Source organism: Homo sapiens, chromosome 2 (genome assembly GCF_000001405.40).
Source record: "Homo sapiens chromosome 2, GRCh38.p14 Primary Assembly".
Classification (NCBI taxonomy): Eukaryota; Metazoa; Chordata; class Mammalia; order Primates; family Hominidae; genus Homo; species Homo sapiens.
This window is the reverse complement of record NC_000002.12, coordinates 2,249,868-2,277,356: the sequence shown is the minus strand read 5'-3', so window position 1 is coordinate 2,277,356 and position 27,489 is coordinate 2,249,868. Positions and strand designations below refer to the sequence as shown.

The 27,489-nt window shown below is 43.6% G+C and overlaps 1 protein-coding gene across 31 annotated transcripts in view, besides 1 other annotated feature; it reads left to right on the top strand.

The window, feature by feature from the left end:
• Positions 1 to 27,489, top strand: part of MYT1L (myelin transcription factor 1 like) — a 542,163-nt gene that overhangs the window by 53,919 nt on the left and 460,755 nt on the right. The window lies entirely within an intron of this gene.
• Positions 3,865 to 4,496: an enhancer, noted in NCBI's record as "H3K4me1 hESC enhancer chr2:2276633-2277264 (GRCh37/hg19 assembly coordinates)". NCBI's record gives its function as "activates a minimal SCP1, AML or CMV promoter by ChIP-STARR-seq in naive H9 embryonic stem cells {active_cell/tissue: H9 hESC(naive)}" and the evidence as "EXISTENCE:reporter gene assay evidence [ECO:0000049][PMID:30033119]".

Genomic DNA, 27,489 nt, shown 5'->3' with positions numbered 1-27,489 from the left:
CAAATGCTTTGTGCAAATCACCATCGGGTATGAAGGGTGAAAAGATGAGTAAAGATGGAGCATTTTGGAAAATTAAGAATCAATCGGGGCCAGGCAAGGTGGCTCACGCCTGTAATCCCAGCACTTTGGGAGGCCGAGGCAGATGGATCACGAGGTCAGGAGATAGAGAACATAAACCCCATCTCTACTAAAAAAAATACAAAAAAAATTAGCCGGGGGTGGTGGCGGGTGCCTGTGGTCCCAGCTACTTGAGTGACTGAGGCAGGAGAATGGTGTGAACCAGGGAGGTGGAGGTTGCAGTGAGCTAAGATTGCGCCACTGCACTCCAGCCTGGCCAACAGAGTGAGACTCTGTCTCAAAAAAAGAAAAAGAGAAAAAAAAAGAATCAATCGGAAGTTAGCAGGTGAAGTAAAGGCAAACAGAAATCGCACATGTGTGGTGCCGTGGTCAAGCACCATGGGCTCTGGGGACAGGAGTGTTCCTTTGGATGCACAGGCCCATGAGGGCTTCCAGGGGGGTGTGGAGTAACAGGCTCCAGCATCTGATATGGAGGCAAGAGAGAATCATGAGGAGGAGTAGAAAGCAGGCAAATGGGAAATGGAGAGGACAGTCTTGTATGCACCTGCAGAGAGGGTGAGATTCAAGGGTCCCTCAGTCTAAAATGAAGGCATGGTAATGTGAATTCAGCCTTCCCAAGCTGCTTTTCGGTGGCTTGGTTGCTAACACCATCGTTGCATGTGACAACCAGCCTTAGCGCTTGCAGAGTAGGAAGATGTCAGGAGGACCAAGGTGAAGTGGAAACTAACAAACCCAAACAAATAACTGGAGTCTTCCTGGTTCCCTATAGCCCTCCCCGTTCCCCAGCCTTGGATTCCTGAAACCATTTCTTTGTGTGGTTGTAAAAGGACTTTATTAATTAACTGACATATTTGTAACATTTTAAAGAACTGTCTGATCCACATCCCAATGAGTTAAATAATTCTGATAGGCAGAATCGAGAAACTTCAATATCCCGTAACAAGCTGTCATGGTCCTGGTTGAGCGAGGACTGGTCTGCTCAGGGCTGTGTAGGGGGCAGGCCCTGAGAAATGTGTCAAGGCACCACACAGGCACGCAAGGGTGTACACCCAGCTTTCAGAGCATAGTCTCTGCAGTGTACGGACCTTACCTAGCAAAAAGGTTCACTCCTTTGAAAGGAAGCCTGTAACATTGTTTGACTTCACAGGGTCCCTGAGGACCTATTACCCATACACCACTGTATCAGGTGGTCCAGGCACAGAGCTCTGAATGCTCACATTCCACCAAGAAACACAACAGATGAATAAAAAAACACAACTCCATAAAGCAACAAACACAAGGCAGGGTAGTTTGTCAGGCAGAGAGGAGAAACCCGCTGGGGCAAGGTGGAGGTCGATCTCATTTGGGAATGACACTGAAGAATACATAGGCCTTTCCCAGGCAGAGGAGGTTGGCTGGGACTTTCTCTTGAGGACAAGAACAAGGCGTGGAGGTGTGAAAGAATAGGTTGGTTATGTGTGGAAGGTTAAGGTGGAAAGATGGGCTGACATGAGGCTGGGAAGACATCAACCCATGCAAAGTTCATTGAAGTGTATCTTGGCAGCAACAGGAAGCATGCTCAGTGTATATGTGGAAAGTTTTCACGGTACATATTGAAATGAAAGGTAAGTGATGCTCACATTCCATGGACGAGGTAGAGAAGACCTCTCAGAGCAGGAGCTGGTGTTTTAAAGAGGCAACTTAGGGCAGGATGCAGCACACTGGCCTGAGCTCACACTAGGTGCGATACGACCTCTAGGAAACCACTTTCCCTCTCCTGGTTTTGTTCTTCTCATTCAACAGCATCCAAATCGCCCAACTGGGGGCACTGGGGCTCAGCATGTCATATATAGGTAGGCTGATTTCTGACATCCCATGACCAGAAGTAGCTCCTAGTGCTGAAACCACAGAACACTGAACAGATTTTAAGGTATTAGCTTCATCATTTTAGGTTCGACCAATACTTTTAGATGAAGGTCCTGCCCAGAATGGCCCCAGCAATGTGATAGTCTCACATGCAGTTTGTTTTCACATGACTGCTATAACAGGCATGCACACACACACACACACACACACACACACACACACACACACACATTTTATTATTATATTTTCTTGAAATTTCTTTCCAAACAAACATGTCTACCCATTTATCCTCCAAGACCTGGCTCAGTGTCTGCCCAAGGTGACATCCAACCACCAGCACTCTCCAGCTGTGGTCCCCACCCCAAACCAGCACACTGGCTCCCGCTGACTCTACCGCACTTGCTCATGCTCTGGGTGCAACACTGCCCTGGTCTCAGTGTGTGGCCATCTGCTTTCCTTGTTCCAGCCCCCTCATAGCACTACATAGGGATCAATACGTGTTTGCTGAGCCTCACAGCTCTCCGAGTGGAGGCTCTCGGGGTCTTATGGAATGAGCCCTGGACCAGGTTATAGGCTGGCTTGAGTCAGCCTCTGCCCATGCTCTGGGAGGCCTTCATCACCACTTCTCCTCCATCTTACCGTGGCATGCTTTAAACGTGTTCTGAGACTATGAGCATAAGGAGACATTTTACAAGGTCTACAATTAAGATTCCTGTGCAAAGTGATGTTATTAGAAACATAGTTCATTGCAACTGTATAGCTGGAGCTAATACTGTTTATTTTAGAAATATGTTTTAAGTACACTATACCTTCTTTCTCAGGCTACTCCCCTTAGTCCAAGAAATTGCTTTAGATAAAAACAAGCCCAAATCTCCTGAAACAAAATCTTCCAATACTAGCAATAGAGGCTAAGAGTCTTCACATATTATGAGTGATTAAGAATGTCCCTTTATTCTCCTAAATGTTTTAGGAAAAAAGTTCAGTTTATGTTGTAAGTAAATTCCAATGACATTTGAGTGCTTTGAATGCATTAACCCACCTGCCCACTGTCCTCTCTCCCTCCCTCCCTCCTTCCCTTCTCTCCTACCCTCCCTCCCTCCCTTCCTTCCTTCCTTTTTTCCTTCCTTCTTTCCTTTCTTTTTAAAAGTTTCCATTGATGTGTAATAGTCATAAATATTTTGGAGTTATATATAATATTTTCATACATGTACACAATGTGCAATGATCATATCAGGATATTGGATAACCATCACCTCAAATATTTATCATTTCTGTGTTGGGAACATTACAATTCTTCTTTTCTAGCTATTTTGAAACATATAGTAATTATTGTTAATTATAATTTCTCTATGATGCCTTTCCTTCCTTCTTTGTGCCTACCTTTCTCCTTTTTGTTTCTTTTTGTAAAAATGTGTCATATGGATAATTGAGTATCAGTTCTCTATATTCATTTGAAAAGTATTTCATTAGTGTTCTGTAAGGTCTTTACAGCAATTTTTTGTGTTTTAATAATGGAGACAAAATATTTAAAAATACCAAGAAGAATGTGAATTATAATTTCACCCACAATAATTTTTTTTGTGGGCGGATAAAAGCAACACTTTTATATTACTGCCTCACCTTTGGACATGTAAACAGCAATTGACTTTTCTGGTGTTTTTCCTTCTTATAACCCAAATTCCCTCCTTAGTAACCTCTCAGACATGCAGCACAGCAGTCCTCACAGCTGGGTACCTCCCGCTGCTGCAGCCACTCTGAGATGTGTGGCCCTGGTCACAGCCCCCCTACCCTGGGGCAGGTGCCTCTGACACTCACTGCAGGTCCAGGCACTGCCTACAGGCCCTGACTGCCCTATGCTCTGAGTGGCTTCCCATTCCCTCCAGACACTGGCTTTGGCTGGGCGACCAGGCCAAAGACTGGTCCTTAGGAGGATTACTATCTGGGGAGGTAGAACATTTAAATCTTCCTGGCATGATACATTTAAAAAGCTACCAAACCATAGCCCCAGTCCTACAGGAACATGATGGAATTTGAGACTTCTCCATGGCCACCCACTTTCTGTATTGGTCTCTGTTGTTTCCAAACATCTCATTTATCAGGGGTCATTTCTAGATGTGTTTTAATCCTTAAGGAAAATCCTTGTTCTTACTCATTTTGTTTTTCTTCTCCCTCACTATTTAGTGTTTTTCTCAATGGCTGAAGGCAGGACCAGGGCCGAAAGGTCCTGCGATAGTAAATAGGCCATTGGTGCCCCAGCAGAGGAATGAGGAGGAGCGTCACCAGGGAAGAGTCCAGAATTGTGGCAGGGGGCAGGATACAGCCCGCTGGGGGCATGTGGACACAAAGCCAGGCTTTGGATTCCGTGAGAGACAGCAAGGGGCCCGGAAGGCACAGGCCCCTGAGAGCTCCTGGGACTGACACTGTCCCAGGATCCCTCCACTGCAGGTGGAGAAGGAGCTGGAGTGGAGAGAAGGGAGCCAGGGGCTGCAGGGGCACAGGCAAGAAGCTGGGGCACCAGGGGTGGAGATGGGAGACACCTGGACGCCCTGGAGGTGCAGGGCCAGCAGGATTTCCTGACCCAGTTGTCATGGGGTGTGAGAAAGAAGCATCAAGGGTGACTTCCAAGAGTTCCTCCGAGCAGCCAATGGAATGAAAGTGCCATTTGCTCAACTAGAAAGACTGGCAGGGAAGCCCTTGGGAGGGACATCCAGAGATCAGTTTAGACAGGTTAAGCCAAGACGCCTGCTTTTCATCTAATGGAGAAATTCGTAGTTGAATATGGGCTTCAGGAGTTCAGAGAAGAGACCTATGCTGGAGATGATATTGTTGAAGGAGTCGAGGCAGAAGCTGTTTATTTTGTTCCTGTCGGAACTCACTAACATGCACACACTAAAGTGTATTCCCCTGAGAGGCCAGTTTGTTTTGTTTTCTACTCTTTTCTTATAGTTTGAGATCTGACCATTACTTTTTTTAAGCAAAGAAATGAGATGGAGAAGTAGCAGTAAAGGGAAGACACCCACCCCTTGGGCAGGCAGCACCTCTGAGAGCACCAGGGCTCAGCGAGGGCGGGGGCAGGGTGAGGCCAGGGAGAGCCTGCCATGAGTGTCCTAGAGGCCCAGAGAACATGGGAGGTCAGGTGGTGCCAGGAGTGGACGATGACAGGGCTGGAACCCAGCAGTGTTGGGAAGAGAGCTGGGCAATAAGGGTGCCTGTCGTCTTTGACTTCAGGCAGGGCAGGAGGGAAGAGAGCTGGGCAATAAGGGTGCCTGTCATCTTCGGCTTCAGGCAGGGCAGGAGGGAAGAGAGCTGGGCAATAAGGGTGACTGTCGTCTTTAGCTTCAGGCAGGGCAGGAGGGCATTACTGCTGCTGGTGGGATTGCTGGGTGGGGCGAGGCCTCGCCAGGATGCAGAGTTCAGGCAGCCGTGTAGCCTGTGAGTGTCTAACAGCGACAGGCAGAATGAATCATGAAGACAATTTTCCCAGCCTCTAAATTTATTTGAATTCTGATATCTCCCTTTGAAGATCTACCATTGATCCACCCACCTAGTAAAAACACCGCTATTATGGGCTGAACTGTGTGTCCCTCCAAAATTCAAACCCAAGGATGTCGTTGGGGTGGAATGAGGTCATGGGCATGGCATCCTTGTCCAGGGAGCTGGCATTTTTGTGAGAAGACTCAGCAATGCCAGAGTGAGGACAGGGCGAGTGTGGCCATTTGACAGCCAGGATGCAGGCCCTCGCTAGAAACCAAACTTTCTGGCTCCTCGATGTTGCACTTCCTCCTTCTAGAACTGTGAGGAAATGATTTCTGTTGTTTAAACACTGACCTATGGCACTTTGTATGGCAGCCCCAGCTGACTCCCAGAACCACCAGATGACCTCAGCGCCTTGGCTCAGAGAGGCCATCTGGCTGGCAGGCTCTGTTTGTTCCCTCTAGGAGACGTGCAGACAGATCTGCATTTAAAGACAAACTGACCTGCAGTGTAAATTCCCACCATTCGAATGGGGTGGGAGCTTTTTAAGCCATCCTTTATCATATCACATCATGGCTGATGTGTGTGAACATTGTTTTAGGAATGTAAGAATTGTCTTTCATTAACTGGAATAAACAAAATGAGAGAGCTCCATAAAGCCTTCCTCAGGTGGGTGTTCTTGGACTGTGTGGGCAACTGAGCCAGTATGCCTGCGGGGAGCTCCTCAAATTCTAATTTAAAAATCCATGTTGTTGGCACTGTGTCCCCCTGTGACCTGGCCAGACTGTTGAGACAGAGAAAAACAAAAGGGTTACTTGTCAGTTCCTTGCTAGATGTCAGAACCCTTCACTGCAGACGTGATTCATGGTGAGAATCCGTAAACACATGTGTACACACACAGACACGGGACCTCTCGAGCCAGCAAGGCCGCGGCATGCTCCCCGGAAGGAGGAAGCGAAGAACACGCAACCACATCCTTGACACGGGTAAGGAGTTTGTACATTCTGACATAATAAACTCGACAACATGACCAGGAAGGGAAAAGAAATGAAACAAGAGTCAGCGTCAGCCGATTTTTAAAGAGGAAGGTCATGATGAGCAGGATGCCCGGCACTGCTTTGCTCAGTCTCGGTGACATCTCTGCAGCCTCAAACTGGCTGGGAGGGGGCACGGCATCCTGACTGAGCTGGGGCAGGAGCACCAGGGCAGGCAGAGACTGTGCTGTACTTTCTTTATTAACTACTTTTGCTTGATTATGTATTGTCCTTAATGTCCTTTTATGGCCACACTTAAAGAATCCCTGAATACATTGAGTACCAATTAGGGAGATTGGCTGTAATTTTTTCATTGCTTGGATTGGCTGTAATTTTTTCATTGCTCGGATTGGCTGTAATTTTTTCATTGCTCGTGTGTCATTTTTGGGGGCAAATCTCAAGTGGAACAGACCTCTGATTCAGTGACAGATCATTCCCTTCTGTCCCTCTTCATCCATCCCTCTATCTGGCACATGGTAGAGACTCACAGATAGATTTGCAAAGGGGATAAATTATTTCATGTGACTGGACAAGACAGCAAGCTCATGACTAAAGGAATGTGATGAGGCAGATGCAGGCAGCTCTCAGTCCATTGCTGTCTACAAACATTGTGTGAGGCTGCCCAGGCTGCTGCCACAAGGCACCAACTACCAGACGGCTTAAACAACAGGCATCAATTCTCATAGTTCTGGAGGCTCCGAAGTCCAGACTAAGGTGCCTGCACATCTGGTGTGTGGCGAGGGCTCCCTCCCTGGGTTGCAGACAGTCTCTTCTGGCCACATCCCCACAAGGTGAAGATGCAGAGCTGGCTCTCTCTTCCTTCTTAAAAGGACACCAGTCCCTTCATGAAGACGCCACGCTCTTGACCTAATGACTCTCCACACGCCCCACCCACCTCCTGACACCATCACATCAGGCTCAAGATACGAATTGTGGAGAGACACAAACATTAGTCCACAGCCCATGTGCTATGTTGTATATGTGCTTTCTAATATTAGATCAGAAGTCATGAATAGATTTGGAGGCAGAGATAAAGGACTGTATGATTTGGGAATAGCAAGACATAATTCTGGCTGGGAGAATCAAAGAGGATTGAATTTATGCAAATGGACCCACTGTGATTCTGCCTTCTTGATTGGAGGAAAGACGTTCAGGCAGAAGGCACTATAGAGAAGAAAAGGGTCAAGATGTTAAGCAAGACGTGAGAGCCTTGATACCAGGCTGAGCTGTGAGGGCTTGCCGGGGAGCACAAATCCAGGGGCTACTGGAGATTACTGGGCTCACCAATGGCAGATGGCACTTGGCTTCCAAAGCTGAATCTTTTGGGAATCTCTATGACAGCTTGGAGGGAAGAGCATGTGGAGAGAATGCAAGGCAGAAGTAGGATGGGAGTCAGCAAGGGAACCAGGCTAGCAGCAATGACCTAAAAGCTGCCTGCATATAAAGCACTCACATCCGTTACCTCCTGTAACCTTCACAACCTTCATGAGATGGCAAGTGTGCCCCCATTTTGTAAGAGAGCAAAGACACTGAGAGATGCTATTGCGGTGCTGCTCAGAATGTGGGCTGCAGTTGAGCAGGGCCACAAGGTCTTTGTAAACCACCATGTCCAGAGAAGCGCACAGCCTGAGAATACAGAAGCTTCTGTAACAATTTGATCTCAATACAAATTCAAGGGCATGGCCATTTCCAAAAAGTATTGTAAGTTATCTTATAAAACAATTAGTCTAAAATAAGTGTGTGGGAATCTTTAAAAATCCTCACCCTTTATCTCCAGATAATTTAGAAAGTGTTGAGCGATAGATGGCCTTGGGAGGCCCTGATCACTGAGCCCCAGCCCAGGCCTGGGTGCACCCCACACACAGGAGACTGGGCTGATGGAAGAGAAACACAGCTACAAATCTACACATCGCCCCGAATGCTTGGGTGCACCATATAATAATGTCCGCAAAGAGACACCTGCTCAGGTGTGCACTAAAACACGAGTTAATCAAAGTGGCATTTCTATTTGCCTTGTGAATGGCTTGTTTGGGTTTTTCCCTCTTCCCTACAGATTTATCTTCATAATAATATTTTACTTAGGCTAATAACTAAATGAGTTTGAATTCCCTAAACATGTGATTCTTGATTTCGAGGCAGGGATGTTGTCAAGGTTCTGTAAACGGAAGGCAGCTCAGGGTTAACAACTGCCGCGGGTTATCTTCAAGCCGAAAACACACACCAGTGAGAGCAGCTTGTTATATATTGGAAATTAATGAAAAATGGAGCTCCTCTTGCAGATTTCCTGGCGTGGTTTTCCAGTTGAACTTTCTTACCATTGATTTCTATTTGTGAGTTTATTACTCAGGCCAAAAAAGTTTTCAAACATTTTTTCTGATTGTTTAATGTTAAACAGCAACTTTTGTTATACGTATTACTATTTTTAGGATAAGAAATTTATGAATAATTTTCATAGGCTATTTGTGGTCTAAATGTGGAAAAACTGACCTTAAAATAAAATATTTTGCATTTTAATCATAGCTGTTTTGCACTTTACATGTCTTCTCTCTTTTCCACTCTGTTCCCCCATGTTGATGTGCAAATTTACAAAGAATGATGCCCCTCATCTCACTGATTATTAAGAGTAAAATGTGTGAAAAGTAAATTTCTGTATTATAGAGGTAAATTACTCTATTATTTCCATACTTTTCATTAGCCCTCATGCCTAGTTAACAATGACAGAAAACCTTATTGATTATTTACGACTCAGGAAATAAATCCTTCTATCCAAAGTCTACAAGTACATGCATCAAATGGATGTGGGCTTGCATGGAATTGGAAAATGACCTTGTTTTAAACTCTATCTTATCTTATAAGTCTGTTTCTAGCATTTTGGAATTCCCATCTGCTATCCCCCCGAATCTCATCTTTTATTAATACTGATTAGAAGAGTAAATCTTCAATGAATGTTGAAGTTAGACATGCAAAGCGGGTATTGGATGCGTGACCTTAAAGGAACTTGAGTGGTGTGGGAGCTTAGGATGTGGTTCTGAAGCCTCTGTCCTTGGTTTTTTTTTTCTTATTTGACATACTTGCCTTAAGGATGGTGTCCATTCCATGATTTTAACTCTCATCTTCACAGCCGAATTTCACATCCCTGACTGTAGCTTGACGGATCCAGGCACCTCCTTGCAGGATATTTCTCCTTCGATGCCCCTGCGTTCCTTGAGCTCAGCACACCCTGACCACACTGGGTCTCTTCTTTCATCTGAGTTCATGCTAGCTGGTTGCACCTTCCCACTTCAGCCCACCAAGCGGTGAACTGCAGGGCAACCTCGGCCTTCCCTGTCCCCTTCTCCTAAAACCCAGCCATTTAGGAAATCCTGTTGCTTCCATCTGGGGCATTTTTTTTCTGTCCATTCCTTTATTAGGTTTCATCCCCCTCATTTCCCCCAGTATGGTGTATCGCCACATCCGCTTCTTATACAGCCTCCAATTTTCTTTCTAGAACATACTAAAGCGTGCACTTTGACGCCTTCATGTGGGTTTACACTCTGCTCCGCTTTTTACCTGTTTGGGGATCTTCGGAATTCACTCCACCTCTCTGAGTTTCAGTTTCCCCATGGAAGTGAGGGCGAGGCCCCTGTGCTTGAGCTTCCTGTGAGGGTAAGGGAGACTGCGAGGCCAAAGTCTGCCCCACGTGCCATCTGTGAAGCAGCAGCTAGCACAGGGCTGTTGCTCCTTTTCTCAAACACTCTTCTCAGACTTTGTGTTTCAGGGTACCATTTGCCCAGACGTCAGCTGCTCCCAGGCACGCCCTGCCCCTACAGCATCTGCACACTTTCTATTCGCCTCCTGGCTCAGTTTCCCCACCTGGCTTGCTCTGGTTCACCATGGCCGTAGGACCCATCCTCCCTGTGCTGAAGCACTCTCCACGTACTCCTTAGCTTGCTGGCTGTATTAGTCTGTTCTCATGCTGCTAACGAAGACGCTCGAGACTGGGTAATTTATAAAGGAAAGAGCTTTAATGGAATCACAGTTCCACGTGGGAGGCCTCACAATCATGGCAGAAGGCAAGGGAGAAGCAAAGTCACATCTTACATGACAGCAGACAAGAGAAGGAGAGGCAAGCAAAAGGGGAAAGCCCTTATAAAACCGTGAGATCTCATGAGACTTATTCTACCACAAGAACAGTATGGGGGAAACTGCCCCCATGTTTCAATTATCTCTCACCAGGTCCCTCCCACAACATGTGGGAGTTATGGGAGCTACAATTCAAGATGAGATTTGGGTGGGGACACAGCCAAACCATATCATCACTATCCCTCCTTCCTGTAACAACACCCTGGCCCACTCCCTGCTCCTGTGCCATCCTAAATATCCTAACTGGTTCCAGCCAGGGTAATGTAGCACATGGAGCCACTGCGAAATGCTGTGGTCCCTCACCCCACCCCACCCCCATCAATATTTTTACTACTTTGGGCCTTTGTGGCTTCCACACAAATCCAGAAAAGCCCTTTTGGGACTTAGGCACTCCCATCCTCACTGCACAGTTTGTGTGAATATTGAGGTCTTGTCATGTGAAACCAGCCACTGCTCCTGATGCAAATTCCATCAGTTTCCATTGCACAAGGAATGAGTATTCCCAAGGGGAGCAATGTCATATTTTGGGAAAGGCAGGGGCAGTGAAGTCCGGTAGATCTTAGCTAAAAGCCTTGCTGTACCATGAGTCAATTTGGAGCTGCATGGAGTTATTCGCTTCCTTGAGAGTCACCTTATTAACCTATAAAATGGAGATAGAACCTGCCTCGTAGAGCTATTGTGAAGACTGAATGAGGTCATACTTGTGAAACTCCCAGAATGTCTCTTGCAGCATCAGCAGGCTGTGAAGGGCTGTGCTGCATTTGCCCAGCTGCTGATTGCCCCCGCAGACCTGCACCCGGAGCTATTCTGTTTCTAACCTCTATGGGAGGCTAAGCCACCTCCAGTCCTGCTTAGCATTGCTTAGAAAACCTCTCCCCAGGCAGCACCTTCACAGCTCACAGCCTTCAGTGTTTTCCTCCCTCCATCCATGCCTCCTTAGGGCCCCAGATCCCATCAGCCTCAAGGCTCTGCCCTTCTTTTCCATCATTGTCATTGTCAAACGTAAATGTCTCCATTACTTGCTATGTACCGTGAACTTCTCTTCATGTATTTGGATTATTGAACTTCATGCTTACCAAAACCATATAAAATATCCATATTTTATAGACAAGGAAATGTTACCAAAAGATTAAATAATCTTTCTCACGGTCACAACCTCAAGGCCCATGCTCTTAAACAATGAAGTTCTTCCCATGCCGCGGGTGCACCATCCGACATCATCCCAAATCCCAATTAGACTCGGGAGGAAGGCCCGCCTGGTCCCCTCTGTACCCACTGTCTAGTTCTCACTGTGTTCTCTTTCACATGCCACTGGCTGCAGCTCTTTGAGCTCAAGGACTCGCACTTATTAAAATAATAAAGTTATCATTTATTAAATATGCCACACAGGCTATGTACCAACTGTTTCACTTACATAATCTTATTTAACTCTAATGACAACCTTAAAAGGTAGATGTCATTATTATCATTTAAAAAAAGGAAAAAAAAAAAGGATGGGCCAGGCGCGGTGGCTCAAGCCTGTAATCCCAACACTTTGGGAGACCGAGGCGGGTGGATCACCTGAGGTTAGGTGTTCAAGACCAGCCTGGCCAACCCCATCTCTACTAAAATTACAAAAAAATTAGCCAGGTGCCTGTAATCCCAGCTACTTGGGAGGCTGAGGCAGGAGAATTTCTTGAACCCAGGAGGCAAATGTTGCAGTGAGCCATTATCACACCACTGCACTCCAGGCTGGGTGACAAGAGCAAAACTCCATCTCAAAAAAAAAAAAAAATTAAAAAAGACTGAATTTTAGTTGCTCAAGATGTTCTGACCAGTAAGTTATAGAGCAGGAATTTGAACCCAAGTCTCGCTGCCTCCAAATGTTGTGCTTTTACTTACTCACTCCTTTTCTCGGCTTTGCATCCCCTTTAACATTCATTCTGGTATTTTGCCATGAGAAGTGCTTTTAAAAAAAGTTGCTGAATTGATTTGGGTCCATTGGGTTTTCCTGTTGCATAATTCTCCTAGAGGAGTGCTGAATTCCTCTGGACATTTTTACGATTCGTGGCCGCTTGGACTCAGCTTCAGCACTGACCTTCCACTGACGTTCAAGTCTTAGTTTCACAGCATGCACTGTGCTGTGCTGGGACCGTGGCGCGTCCTCAGCCCACAGGAGGAGTGTACACACTCCGCTGAGCACCATGGCTCTGAGCAGCTTGGGCCAGCGTTGCACAGAACCTGAAGTCCATCGAAGCCAACCCCGCAGAATTAGTGCCTTACTGTTCTGCTCAGCTGATTAAGATTATTAGGTTGTGTGAATGCTTCACTATGACCTATTTTTTAACTTTCATTCCTATATAAAGTAACTTAGGAAGTATGATTCTTTGCAAATTTGAGTATTATTCTGGGATTTTTTTTGGGGGTGGGGTTTGGGGGAGTAATCAGAGCATGCTATTTCTACTGATGTCATGAGGTTCTGTATACGCACAAATAAAGAAAAAGGCATCAGACCCAGGGCCTCTTAGGGTTCCACGCTGGGCTGTGGATTAGTGGGAAGCAGAGACCCTGGGTCTCAGGAGATGCATAGTCCTTGCCAGTCAGACTTGCATGAGATAGAGATCCAGAAACACAGAGTAAGTGAATGATGCTAAAACTGCCAGGCTTAATTCAGATGCTGTGCTGGAAGGAACTTGGGCTTCAGGGTCAGTCAAGGTTCAAATTCTAACCCTGCCACCATGGATGTTTGGCCCAGCAAGTTAACTTTCCTGAGCCCCAATTTCTTTTTCTATAAATGCAAGATTTTTATTATTACAGTATTATTATCACTTAAGTATTAGCGGTCCATTCTTTATAGGATTTTTTAAAATTATACTTTGAGTTCTAGGTACATGTGCACAATGTGCAGATTTGTTACCCCAATTTTTTAAAGTGAGAAACAGATATAAAACTCACCTTGCAAAATTGCTGCAAGGGTGAAATCACATAGGGAACCCAAGATGCAAACATCATGCTTGACGTCCAGCAAATGGGTACAGTCACTGGCCCCTCCAACTAGCAGCTCCCAGATGCCAGGAGCGTCTGAGGATCCTGAAAGGTCTAGTCGTGAACAAGAGGCCAAAGTCATATCAGGATGAACTCAGCCAGAGGGGAAAAGGGCCTCTTCTGTGCCACCTGCCAGGATCCTGGGGCGTGAGCTGCATCAGCTGACAGGTGCTGTAAGTAAAGGCAGAGGAGGGCAGCAGCAACGGGCACTGCTGCAAACCCCAGCACCAGTTATGCTCTGTTAGTCCCTTGTCTTGCTTGGTATCTGTGTGCAAAAGGCCTTTTTAGGAATATAGTTCACACTCACATCCAAAAGGTCATCTGCGCCACACGGTTCAGGCATTTATTGATTTATGCATTGGAATTGTTTCCTTCATCAGGCAATACATTCTGCGACCGGGTTTTGCATATGTGCAGCACCCCTTGTTTCTGGGATGTAAGCAGAGGGCGTCGTTAACCCTGGAGCTGGGAGGTGATTGGCCCTCCTCGCTCTCTGCCAGTAGGGTTCCCCTTCTCTTCCATTTTCAAAGTGATTATAAATGCACGATTTTCACAAATGCTGAAAGAAGACTGTTTATGGGAATCCTAATCAATTAATTCATCAAAAAAGGAAGTTGCATGTTGTCATTCAGGGAAGAATTAAATATGACTACCTTCTCCAAGGGCAATGATAGTTCTCTTTTTAAAGTTATTAGTTTCAATGTGTTTTATATCTGGAAATTTTGTTTGTGTTTTTTGCCCTGCCTTTTGGGAAAAATATTTTATATGTTCACTTTATGCTATTTTGTTTCCTCCAATGAAGACCTAGATGTTTATTACCTGTGATATATATATATATATCACAGGTTATATATATATATATATTTGTGCCTCTCACCTGGGGTAAAAACATCAAAATTCTTTCCAAATAAATCACTGTTCATAACATAATCTACGAAAGAAAAATGCTGTGCTTTGAAACACATGTCTTTATTTGGAATTGGACAGAAGTCATTTGGACTTTGGGCGGGCTAGAAAAGCTCCAACCAGCTGCAAAGACAGGTCAGATGTTATAGCTGCAGGAATCATAATTTTTTTTTTTTTTTTTGAGATGGAGTCTTGCTCTGTCACCCAGGCTGGAGTGCAGTGGCACGATCTTGGCTCACTGCAAGCTCTGCCTCCTGGGTTCATGCCATTCTGCTGCCTCAGCCTCCTGAGTAGCTGGGACCACAGGTGCCCGCCACCATGCCCGGCTAATTTTTTTGTAGTTTTAGTAGAGACGGGGTTTCACTGTGTTAGCCTGGATGGTCTCGACCTCCTGACCTTGTGATCCGCCTGCCTCGGCCTCCCAAAGTGCTGGGATTACAGGCGTGAGCCACCGCGCCCTGCCTAATTATTTGGTTTTTTTTTGTTGTTGTTTGTTTGTTTGTTTGTTTTGAGACGGAGTCTTTCTCTGTCACCCAGGCTGGAAGGAATCATAATTATTTGTGGAAGTATTTTGCTTGATAGGATATTATGGCAAAATTGGATATTTTATAAATAATTCCAGAAAGAGAACTTAAGAAATAGATAAAACACACATTCATTCATTCATTATTCTTCCCCAAAGTTGATTATTTACCTACTTCACAAATATTTATTTAGTGCCTGCAATGTGTCAGACACTATTCTAGCTGTTGGGATTCAACACTGAAAAAATGTAAAAAATACACAAAAACTCCAGACTCCTGAAGTTATGTTAAGGGGTGTCTCAATTGCACCCATGGATCATAGAATGTCCATGACTCTAATTTGAGTTGGGTTCATTTTATCATGCACTTTTTAAATTTAATATTACCTTTTTGGGAAACATTAAGTATTAAAGTTTTATCTCATTCCAACAATTTGTTTCCCTGTGTATTTTTTAAGTTTATTTTTATTCTTTTAAGAAATGAAGGATGTTCCTAGTGTATGTCCTCCTTCCTGGCTGGCTCCAGAAACTGTTCTAATAATCACAAGCACAAATTCCCTGACTTAGGCTTTACTTTCAGTCTCCATTTACGAGAAGCACATCATCATTAGGCCACTGCCTAACATTTTAATGGTCTGAAGATCTCCACAAATGTATTATTTTCAATTGTGGACGTTGTTTTTGTATCTGCACCACTCTCTTACTTATTTCTTTTTGACTTCTAACATAAATGCATTTTTTGCCAGATTCTGCTATTTGCCTCATTAGCCAAATCTGAACATCTCACCTGCCAACTCCCTATTGATAGAAGTTTTGAGGACTTGGCAATGGAAGATAATTCTGTTTCCTACCTAACAGGGGGGAGGACTAATGCTGTGGCTATCCCAGGGGTTTGTTAATTATCTTCTTAGTTCCATTCAGATAATTTTGTGTCTATTTAACATTAGCAGATGATATAGTTATGTTCCTAATTTATAATATTCTTTCTTCATTTCCGATTTGTCTAAAAGACTGTAATCAGATTTATAATGCAACTGAACAACAATATCAAAAGACATAGTGTATAAGTGCAATAGAAATGTAGTTTTCTGGTTTGACTTGATGGTAAGAACAACAAAATGCAAAGAAATTGTGAAACAAAAAAGTTGGAGATTCTATTGTAGACACATGTTGGAAACACATACACACACACACACACACACACACACGCACTCACACACACATGCACCCCAGCAGGGAGGAAGGGCGGTAGGGTGAGTTGAGCATGGGGCAATGGACTGAGGCAAATGTTGCCTAACCAAGACTTCCTGAGACAGGATTTGTTGGTGCTCAATCTCTGAGTAATCTGATAAATAACACCGTTAACAAAGTATCAAGGACAGGCTCCTGAGAGTAGTGTGTTTCAGAATCTGGCAGAATTTCCCAAGAGAAATGCTAGGAGCATTGTCCCGGAAGACATTACCATGACAACAAAACAGAGAAATCATCACCCTCCTCACCAGGCCAGGTCACCGATGAGCAGCCAGCTGAGTGTCCGATTCTGAAGACACCCTGCAGGTGATTGTGCCACATGGGCTGGGAAATATATTCCAATTGCAAAGAGGAAGATAATAAAAATAAAGGAAATCTAGGGAAAATTCTTTTAGGAAATTTTAATAAAGCAGAGTCTCAGTATAATATAACAAAAAAAAAATAATTCACCAGCAAAGTAAGCTTCTGTAAGATAGAAAAAAATACGTAAAACAGAAAGGTCGAAAGAAAGAAATTTCAAAGTTGCTCCAGCAGGATACAGATGACTTAGGCTGAAGTAGGTGATAGTTCTGCTATCAGCCTTGCAAAATTAGAAGTATGAATGGTTCTAGAAGTTGTGAAATAGTAACTCACAAGCACAGCATTCAGTTTCTGGTTTATCACTATGGTTCTTCAGTCAAACCTGTCATTTTCACTTGAGATACAGTAAAAATTCTTAGAGTTGTTGTATAATAATAGGCACGAAGTCTGTATATGCCTTTACAATTTTGAAGTTCTATTCACAAAACTTTTCTCATTTGATCCTCAGGAAAGTTTTGTCAAGTTTTATTACTCCAATGCCCATTTCACAGATGGGGTCACGGAGGCACAGACAGTGTTAGCCAATAATTTTTCAGCATCACACATCAGTCAGCGGGGAGCCAGGTGTAAAATCTCATCACGCATTGTGAATCCTGTTTCTCTCTGTAATGTAATCTCCGTGCTCGGTGAGTGCATCTGAAAACACTAAGGAATGGCGTGGATACTCTGATCTTGTTTAGAGGGAGCCAGGCCACGCTAATGTCAAGACGTGTGTAAAATGAGCGCCTGCTCATTGTCAGAGCCTGGGCTGGGGAGGCTGCAGTGGAAGAGCCATGTGAAGGAGCTTGACTGTTTCTGAAACATTTTTCACATACATTAGGCTACTGTGTCTTCACAGAACCCCTGGCCAGTGCTGTGCACATCTTTTTCTTTCTATATGAAATAAACTGGAGCTCGGGAAGGTTAAACAATGTGACCTAGCACACCTGGCCAGCGACACACATTGACAGGGCTCCAACCCAGGATTCCCAATCCTGAAGCCCATCTGCCGTCGGGATGACCCGTACCTTGACATCCATCCCAGGGGGATTAGCACTCCCTGGAATGGATCGATACTAGCCACATTTTCTATAAGACGAGGGTCAGTCAGAATGTGATTTTAATTTTCCCATTAATCCTAAAGATTTGGAGATTTTCAGGTCACAATTTTCACTTTGGGGACATATTCCTGATTTTTTTTCAGCTCTTTTAAAATATAATTGACAAATAAAAACTATATGTATTTAAGATACACAATGTGATGATGTGATATATATATACATTAGGAAAGGATACCACAATCAAGCTAACTAATACATCTATCACCTCACATAGTTCCATTTTTTTTTTTAATGTTTTTTTTTTTATTATACTCTAAGTTTTAGGGTACATGTGCACATTGTGCAGGTTAGTTACATATGTATACATGTGCCATGCTGGTGCGCTGCACCCACTAACGTGTCATCTAGCATTAGGTATATCTCCCAATGCTATCCCTCCCCCCTCCCCCGACCCCACCACAGTCCCCAGAGTGTGATATTCCCCTTCCTGTGTCCATGTGATCTCATTGTTCAATTCCCACCTATGAGTGAGAATATGCGGTGTTTGGTTTTTTGTTCTTGCGATAGTTTACTGAGAATGATGGTTTCCAATTTCATCCATGTCCCTACAAAGGACATGAACTCATCATTTTTTATGGCTGCATAGTATTCCATGGTGTATATGTGCCACATTTTCTTAATCCAGTCTATCATTGTTGGACATTTGGGTTGGTTCCAAGTCTTTGCTATTGTGAATAGTGCTGCAATAAACATACGTGTGCATGTGTCTTTATAGCAGCATGATTTATAGTCCTTTGGGTATATACCCAGTAATGGGATGGCTGGGTCAAATGGTATTTCTAGTTCTAGATCCCTGAGGAATCGCCACACTGACTTCCACAATGGTTGAACTAGTTTACAGTCCCACCAACAGTGTAAAAGTGTTCCTATTTCTCCACATCCTCTCCAGCACCTGTTGTTTCCTGACTTTTTAATGATTGCCATTCTAACTGGTGTGAGATGATATCTCATAGTGGTTTTGATTTGCATTTCTCTGATGGCCAGTGATGATGAGCATTTCTTCATGTGTTTTTTGGCTGCATAAATGTCTTCTTTTGAGAAGTGTCTGTTCATGTCCTTTGCCCACTTTTTGATGGGGTTGTTTGTTTTTTTCTTGTAGATTTGTTTGAGTTCATTGTAGATTCTGGATATTAGCCCTTTGTCAGATGAGTAGGTTGCGAAAATTTTCTCCCATGTTGTAGGTTGCCTGTTCACTCTGATGGTAGTTTCTTTTGCTGTGCAGAAGCTCTTTAGTTTAATTAGATCCCATTTGTCAATTTTGGCTTTTGTTGCCATTGCTTTTGGTGTTTTGGACATGAAGTCCTTGCCCACGCCTATGTCCTGAATGGTAATGCCTAGGTTTTCTTCTAGGGTTTTTATGGTTTTAGGTCTAACGTTTAAATCTTTAATCCATCTTGAATTGATTTTTGTATAAGGTGTAAGGAAGGGATCCAGTTTCAGCTTTCTACATATGGCTAGCCAGTTTTCCCAGCACCATTTATTAAATAGGGAATCCTTTCCCCATTGCTTGTTTTTCTCAGGTTTGTCAAAGATCAGATAGTTGTAGATATGCGGCATTATTTCTGAGGGCTCTGTTCTGTTCCATTGATCTATATCTCTGTTTTGGTACCAGTACCATGCTGTTTTGGTTACTGTAGCCCTGTAGTATAGTTTGAAGTCAGGTAGTGTGATGCCTCCAGCTTTGTTCTTTTGGCTTAGGATTGACTTGGCGATGCGGGCTCTTTTTTGGTTCCATATGAACTTTAAAGTAGTTTTTTCCAATTCTGTGAAGAAAGTCATTGGTAGCTTGATGGGGATGGCATTGAATCTGTAGATTACCTTGGGCAGTATGGCCATTTTCACGATATTGATTCTTCCTACCCAGGAGCATGGAATGTTCTTCCATTTGTTTGTGTCCTCTTTTATTTCCTTGAGCAGTGGTTTGTAGTTCTCCTTGAAGAGGTCCTTCACATCCTTGCCTCAAAGAGAATAAAATACCTAGGAATCCAACTTACATAGTTCCATTTTTAAAAAGTTAGTGATGAGAACCCTTGAGGCTACTCTCTTAGCAAATTTCAAATAGACGATACAGTGCTATTTACCATAGTCACCATGCTGTGCGTTAGAGCTCCAGGACTTACTTTTCCTGTCTGGTAAGGTTTTCTGTTCCTTGAATGGCATCTCTCCTCATCCTTGACCTCGTGATCCAACCGCTTCAGCCTCCCAAAGTGCTGAGATTACAGGCATAAGCCACCGCAGCCAAGATTGGATCTTTCAAGGTCCTTATGGCTCCAACCTGGAAAAACAATCCCAGGGCATTAAGACATCATCGATAGAGAAAACCGTCAGTCATTTCCAATATGAGCCCCAAGTTCAAAGTCATAATAGCAAATTGCAGGGGCTGTGTGTTTCACCTGAATTAATTTTCACTCCACAGGAGGTATCCAGAGGGTCCTACTAATTCGGGAATGGCGATTATTCTCTCAAGTAGTGTTCTCAGTGGGGTGCCCTGATCAGCCACAGGAGCATCAGCTGGGCTTCTTAGACAAGGACGTTCTGGACCCCATTCCAATTCCACAGAATTGGAAACTCTGGGGGTGGGGCACAGGAATGCATAGTTCACTAAGCTCTCCAGGTGAAGCAAGGGGAACATTGAAAATCTGTTTTTCAGTAACTTCAAGGAGGCAGCAACCTATGTATGTATGACTACACACATGTTTATAAGTGCCTGTGTGTCTGTGTGGCTATATGAATGGCATTTACACACACATGCACACTCTCATACATGTGAACAGACATGAGTAGCAGACATTTGCTTTGCACTTCCCCTGTATCAATCCTCAGCCCATTTGTCACTGCTGACATAGTGACTGCTATGCCTTTGCTTCTTATGACGGCTTTGGATGTTTATGTCAGCATTACCTGGCCATATAGTGCAATTAGTGCTCTCGCTTTTAAAAAAGGAGCATTTTGTACTGTCACACGATTCCCAAATGCTGCTTATTGTCCTGCACTCAGTTTCTTCGAATTCCCTCTGCACAATGTTCTAAAGGTTATAGCATCTCTTTGGATTTCTGTTTCCAGAGAAATGGTGGAAAACAGTAGTTGACAAACTTTATCCTTAAAAGGCAGATAGTAAATATGTTTGACCTTAGAGCCAGATGGTTCCTGTTCCCACTACTCCATTCTGCTGCTGTAGCGCTAAGCAGCATAGATAATACGGAATTGTGAGGATATGGTTGTGTTTTAAAACCCCTTATTTATAAAAATAGGTGGCACCTGAATTAGACCTGTGGCCACAGTTGGACAACTGCTGATCTGAAACCCTTATTCACTTTCCTAAGAAAGCCTAAGCTGCTCACTGGATCAATAGTTTTACCTTTCAGGTGTGGCCTTTCAAGTTGCTGATGGTGCCCACACTGGCCTCGGCCTGCGGACCAGTTTGGCCTCACGCCTCTTTGAGCAGCGTGCCATGTCAGCACTGAGAACACTGTGCTCACATCTACAGCCCGGAGCCTCTGTCTATTCACCGGGGGTCTTGTTTTGGCCCGACGCGAGTGAAGATGGTTACAGAGGTGATTAACAGTAATCTCCACCTGTGGCAAGGTCAGGTGGACCTTCTCTTTAGAAAACAAGTTGTCCTTTTACCCCGCTATGGCTCCCTATTTAATGAGACTTGGTAGCTGCAGAAAAGTACCAGGGAGCAAAGCAAGGCTGTTGCCATGAATTAATTCAGACTCAGTAAAGGGTAAGGTGTTCACAACTTTCATCACTTCAACTGGCCCCTAATAGGTATAAGCTGTTACTGCTCTTATCCCAGATGAAAGACAATATCCGTGATGGGGCAGAAAGCAGCGGGACTAGAAACGGCCTCCAGAGCTTGCTTTGTTTCACAACAGCCAGTCTAATATGGTCATGGGTGTGATGAGGATGAAGACGGCTTCTGTACCTGTCACTGCAGGCATCCACACGGGTATGTGCGACAAATAGCTAAAAACAGGATGACGGCCCAGCCTTCATTCTGTAAATGTTTTATGTTCAAGTGATTCATATTTTTAGAAAATTATTCAAATATTTTGAAAATCCAGTTGCAAATAAGGGCTGATGTAAATATCGTTTCCAGAGTAATTTGAATTTCCAGTGAAAATCGTAGAATGATTTCACCGTGTGGCTCCTTTCTCCCCTCCCTTCTAGGTGGGTTTGCAGCTGCTCTGATGCTCTGAGGGCAACCGTTACCCTTTTCTGGGGCAAAAGACTTGTATGTGAGGAGGCTTAGGGCTGAGCAGGAAGATGAGGCTTGTGCTTAAAAACTAACAACCCCCCCAATATCCTCCTGATATATTGCGTGACATAGATGGAAGGGTAATGAGTGTGTGTTGGAAATTTAGGGGGGTAAGAAATCACCCTGTAATCGGGCAGCCCAGAAAGGCTGTCAGGACGGGGAGCTGCAGGATGAACCATAAATGGTGTTCGGTGGAGAAAGAGGATCACTTCCTACATTTAGGAAAACAAAACATTTAAAATCACAAGACTATTTATTTTCTATAAAATTATCTCTTTCCATAGACCCTTCCCTTTGGCCTATTTTTATTAACTATTAAACATTCACATGTCTTTTATTTTAAATCACTTCAAATATTTCCTGGAGGCAGATGGGTTAAATATCATAAAAACAAAAAATAAACTGGAAATATTTATGTAGGAAAGAATATGGCACATGTATATTATAGAAGTCGAGAAAAAATATAGATCATTTCCTTGTAGTAAAAGTTTGGGGAAGAGGGGAATAAAATAAAAAATGGGAAGTAGTTGGGGCTGTATGGTAGATCAGTTGGAGGACAATTTTCTTGGTCAGAAGGACAAGCTGTGATTCTTGTGATGAAGATTAAAGTTCAATTAAGTAAAAATGGAAAGAGGAGATGACAATAAGCACTTTCATTAGAAAAAAAATGAACATTTCGCATCTTTCTGTGGAACTTTGCCATTCTGTATCTATATGGCTTTTTCAGGGTGTTTAAAACAAAATACTAAGTACTAATAATAGCTAAGATTTATTGATCTATGTGGCAGCCAGTGCTGTAAGAAACATACATGTCTGAATCTGTCTAATCTTCACAACAACCACTGTGCAGATAAGGAGACAGGAGCATGGAGGCCACCACGGCAATGCAGCTCTAGAGTCCCTTCTCTCAGCAGCTCCAGCGCCTCTGGAAAATGCCCACATCAATGTCCCATCACAGTCTCCTGAGGTGCAGCCCAGCCCCCAGGCCTCCCGGAGATCCTGTAGCTGCTGAATGAGTTGTTCCCCTCCCAGGGCCTCTGCTTCCTTCATGGATTGATGGAGTTCGACTCTAAATCCCGAATCCAGGTCTGATCTGCAGTCATTGTTGAAGATTTTCCCCATGAACGGCATTAATTGAATCTCATATAAAAGTAGATTATTTGCTTACTTATATGTGCATTGGACAAATATATGCAAACTCTTATGCAAAACCTTATATGTTGCAAATCTGCAAAAGGTACCATATACTCTTTGGGATACACACAATGCACAGTGCAGAATTCTGTGAGTAACGCCACGGCCACGGTGCACAACATTCCTTTCACACTTATCACAGGGAGCCTTCGGTTTTAGTTATCTTTTATACATAGTGTGCTGGGGGTGCATATATGTGTGTCTTTATGTATATTTTGGAGCATTTTTCCCAAACTATGTAATCTTTTCATCTAAAACATGTTTTAAATAAGCTTAGGATGAAAGTTAATTCACAGTCTCGCTGAAGGCAGACCTTAGGAGAGTGGCAGTGGCTGGAATGATTGTTTCCGGGAAATTCCGACTTGCTCTCCTGCCCCGCTTCCTGTTTCCGACTTGCCCTCCTGCCCCGCTTCCTGTTTCCGACTTGCCCTCCTGCCCCGCTTCCTGTTTCCGACTTGCCCTCCTGCCCCGCTTCCTGTTTCCGACTTGCTCTCCTGCCCTGCTTCTTGTTTCCCACTTGCTCTCCTGCCCTGCTTCCTGCACATGAACTGGGAGTTTTTTCTCCTCTCAGCTCTCAGCCTCCTTGGTGCATTTCTCTTCCGTGATCCTGTGTTTTACTTTGCATGCCCTTCTTGGCACTCGTTTTTACAAACACGTTCCCAATCCTTCCTTTTAACTGCATCCCCCTTCCCCCTATAGAGCATTAGAAGTGAAGACATTATCAGTCAGTGACTCTGGGCCACGCCATTACTGAGATTTCCCGCTGAGCAATGCTCTGTGTGGACTATTATCCAGAAATTTCATATGCTGACTCAGCCAAAGGTGGAAGAGTAGAGAAAGCGCCTAACGCTCTCCTCAGCACCTTCAAGGCGAAGTCACTGTGTGGAAGCCAGCGAGCCCTGTTCCCAGAGAAGGGAGGCTCCTGCGAGGGGGGCAGCAAAAGCTGCAGCTGGAATGGAGACCAGGCTGGACAGTGGAGCCCGCTCCGGCTCACAGGTGTCCTGGTGATCAATGATGTTTCCTTCTCTTTTTTTCTTTTTTTTTTAAATTCTTTTTTTCTTTTTCAAAGGTGCCACAATAGCAAAAGCCACATTATTTTTATATGTTCTTCTCTTTGATTGACTCTAAAATTTTGCAGAAAAACTTGCCTAAGACCTTAACTGAAAATAAAGGCTTTCAAGTGAGGGATAGAAATTTGGTTTATTTTTTTAAAAAAAATTTTACTTCCTTGACTGTAGATGTAAATGAGGATTCAGGATACATGCCCTAAAAAGGTGTCCTGAAGGAGAGAATGATCTTGTTTACAAAGTTATAGGCCCCAGAATGTTCTAGAAAAATTCACATAAGGGGGAAGAAAGAGGGGAAGGCATTTTAGAAGACATATAGCACCCCACTGAGCACACCCAGGGATGCTTTTCGTGGGGGAGGTGAGGACAGATGAAGAAGACGATGGCCTCTTTCCTTTAGCCTTGGAGATGTGGTCTTTGGTGGTGGGGACAGGGGAGCTTTGCATGCCGGGCCCTCCCTGCTGCTGTCTTCCCCCTTCAACACCCCGCCCATCTACCAGCAACACACACCTGTGGTGTTATAGTTGCTTTTATATTCAAGAATTTAGAAATCTGTTATAGAATTAAAATAAGAATTCTGCTGTATGCAAGAGCAGTTTCTGCACTGATCCCTCTGAGGAGCCATCCCTGAGTCCCTCCTGGATTGCAGAATGGAGGAGCCAGCATCCGTCCCTGCAGCTCAATAGGAAGAACAGCTTGTGGTGGGCAGTGTGGACTCATGCCCAGACACAGACCAGGGCTGGAGCTGAGATCCCGAGAGGTTTCCTGGGTTCAGAAAGAGGCCATGGGAGGGCTGAATCTTAGCCTGGAACCTGAAGCATGGGCTGGTATTCAGGGGGAATTTTAAAGTTAAAAGGGTAGTCGGGACAAACAGAGGTAAGCAGAGGCAGGACAGGAGAGAGGAGCTTGGGTCAGACCATTTGGACACCCTCCTTGAGAACGAAGCCAGGAAAGTTGGCTGAGACAGGGCAGCAGAGAGAGCCTGTCTTCTCTCCACCACTGGAACACTTGAGAGGAGGAATGGAGAATTCGGTAACAAGGACAGCTGAATTTTAGTTTACATTTTCCCCTGGCCAAAATTTAGGTAACTTCAGGTAAATCTCATTTCATCTTTTATATTTTTTAGATGCCTGCTGTGTTCCCCATTGCCTGCCTTGCCTTGCCGTTCCCTTTTTTTCTTTTCTTTTCTTCTTTCTTTCTTTCTTTTTCTTTTCTTTCTTTCTTTTCGTTCTTCTTTCTTTCTCCTTCCCTTCCTCCTCCCTCCCTTCCTTCCTTCCTTTTTTTTTCTTTTCCCATATTGAACCTGGCCCTTATTAGATGCTCAAATGATGCTCTTGTATTAGTTGTGGGTAAATTTTCTTTGAGAATAAGGCATTTTTCAAAACAGATATATTAGAGCTTTCAGATCCTGTAATAGATCTATTGTCATTGCATCAACTGTCAACTAGTAGCTTGGAATAACCTAGTGAAAACTGAATTTACCTGGTGTTAATAAACACAGCACACTTGGTTTGCTGGCTTATGTACTTCCTCAATGTCCAGGTGCCTACTGGGTGCATTCCTTGGAATAATAGCGCTTCATAAAAACAGGGTGTGAGGGTACAAGTCAGCTGGAGTGGGGCAGGAGGTGGGGGGTACAGTCCTGTCATGCCAGGTTTCTGCACCTGGAAGCGTGGCGTGGGCGGACAGCATTGGTGATGGCATTCACGGGCGGAAACCCTGAAAGAACTGGTGGAGTGATACCACTTGCAAGGGCAGGAGAGTGAAGCCTGGGCTGCAGCGGACGTATCTCCACGTCTAGGTCATTATACAGTAGTTTATCTTGTTATCTTACTAATAATAAAAGGAATATGGGCTCATTGTAAGCAAATTAAAGAAAGTAAAGAAAATTATAAGAGAAAAATAAATCACCTCTAATTTCACAACATACCTGTAAATGAGGATTGAGGATATGTGCCTTAAAAATGTATCCTGAAGGACAGAATGATCTAATTCCACGATGAGAGGTAATAGCTTTTATCATATACATTAACATTTAATAAGATTTGATACTTCACCTTACATTATGAACATTTTTCATGCCATTAAAGTTCCAGGTAAACATTAAGTCGGCAAAATATTTTGTTTGCAGAACTGATCATAATCTATTTAACATTTTCTAATTTTAAACATTTTTTAATTATAAATCATGCTATAATTAATTTTTTTCTTTATATATTTAAAGAGTAGGATCTTTAAAGAGAATAACTAGAATACATTCAATGGATAAATTATGCTGGCTGAATTTTTCTTTTTCTCAATTTCCTTTTTAGTTCTTGTGGGTACATGGTAGGTATATATATTTATGATGTACAAGAGATATTTTGGTACAGGCATGCAATGTGTAATAATCAAATCATGGAGAATTGGGTATCCATCCCCTCAAGCATTCTTTGTGTTACAAACAATCCAACTATACTCTTTTATTTTTATGTGTACAATTAAATTATTATTGACTATAGTCTCTTTGTTGTGCTATCAAATAACTAGGCCTTATTTGTCCTTTTTTTTTTTTTTTGTACCCTTTCACCATCCCCACTTCCCCGCCTGGCCCCTTACTACTGTCCCAGCCTCTGGTAACATTCCTTCTATTTTCTATCTTCATGAGTTCAATTGTTTTGATTCTTAGATCTGACAAATAAGTGAGAATATGTAATGTTTGTCTTTCTGTGCCTGGCTTATTGCTTTTAACATAATAATTTCCAGTTGCATTTTGGTGCAAATGGCAGAATCTCATTTTTTATGGCTGAATAATACTCCATTGTGTATATGCACCACACTTTTTTATCCATTCATCTGTTGATGGACACTTAGGTTGCTTCCAAACATTGGCTGCTGTGAACAGAGCTTCAGCAAACATGGGAGTGCAGAGATCTCTTCAATTACCTGATTTCCTTTAAGTGTATAACTAGCAATGGGAGTGCTGAATTTTATGGTAGCTCTATTTTTATTTTTTTCAGAAACTTTCAAACTGTTCTCTATAGTGGTTGTACTAATTTACATTTCCACTAAGAGTATATAAGGGTTCCCTTTTCTCAACATTCTATCCAGCATTTGTTATTGCCTGTCTTTTGGATAGAAGCCGTTGTAACTGGGGTGAGATGATATCTCATTGTAGCTTTGATTTGCATTTCTCTGATAATCAGTAATGTTGAACACCTTTTCATATGCCTGTTTGATATTTGTATGTCTTTTGAGAAATGTCTATTCA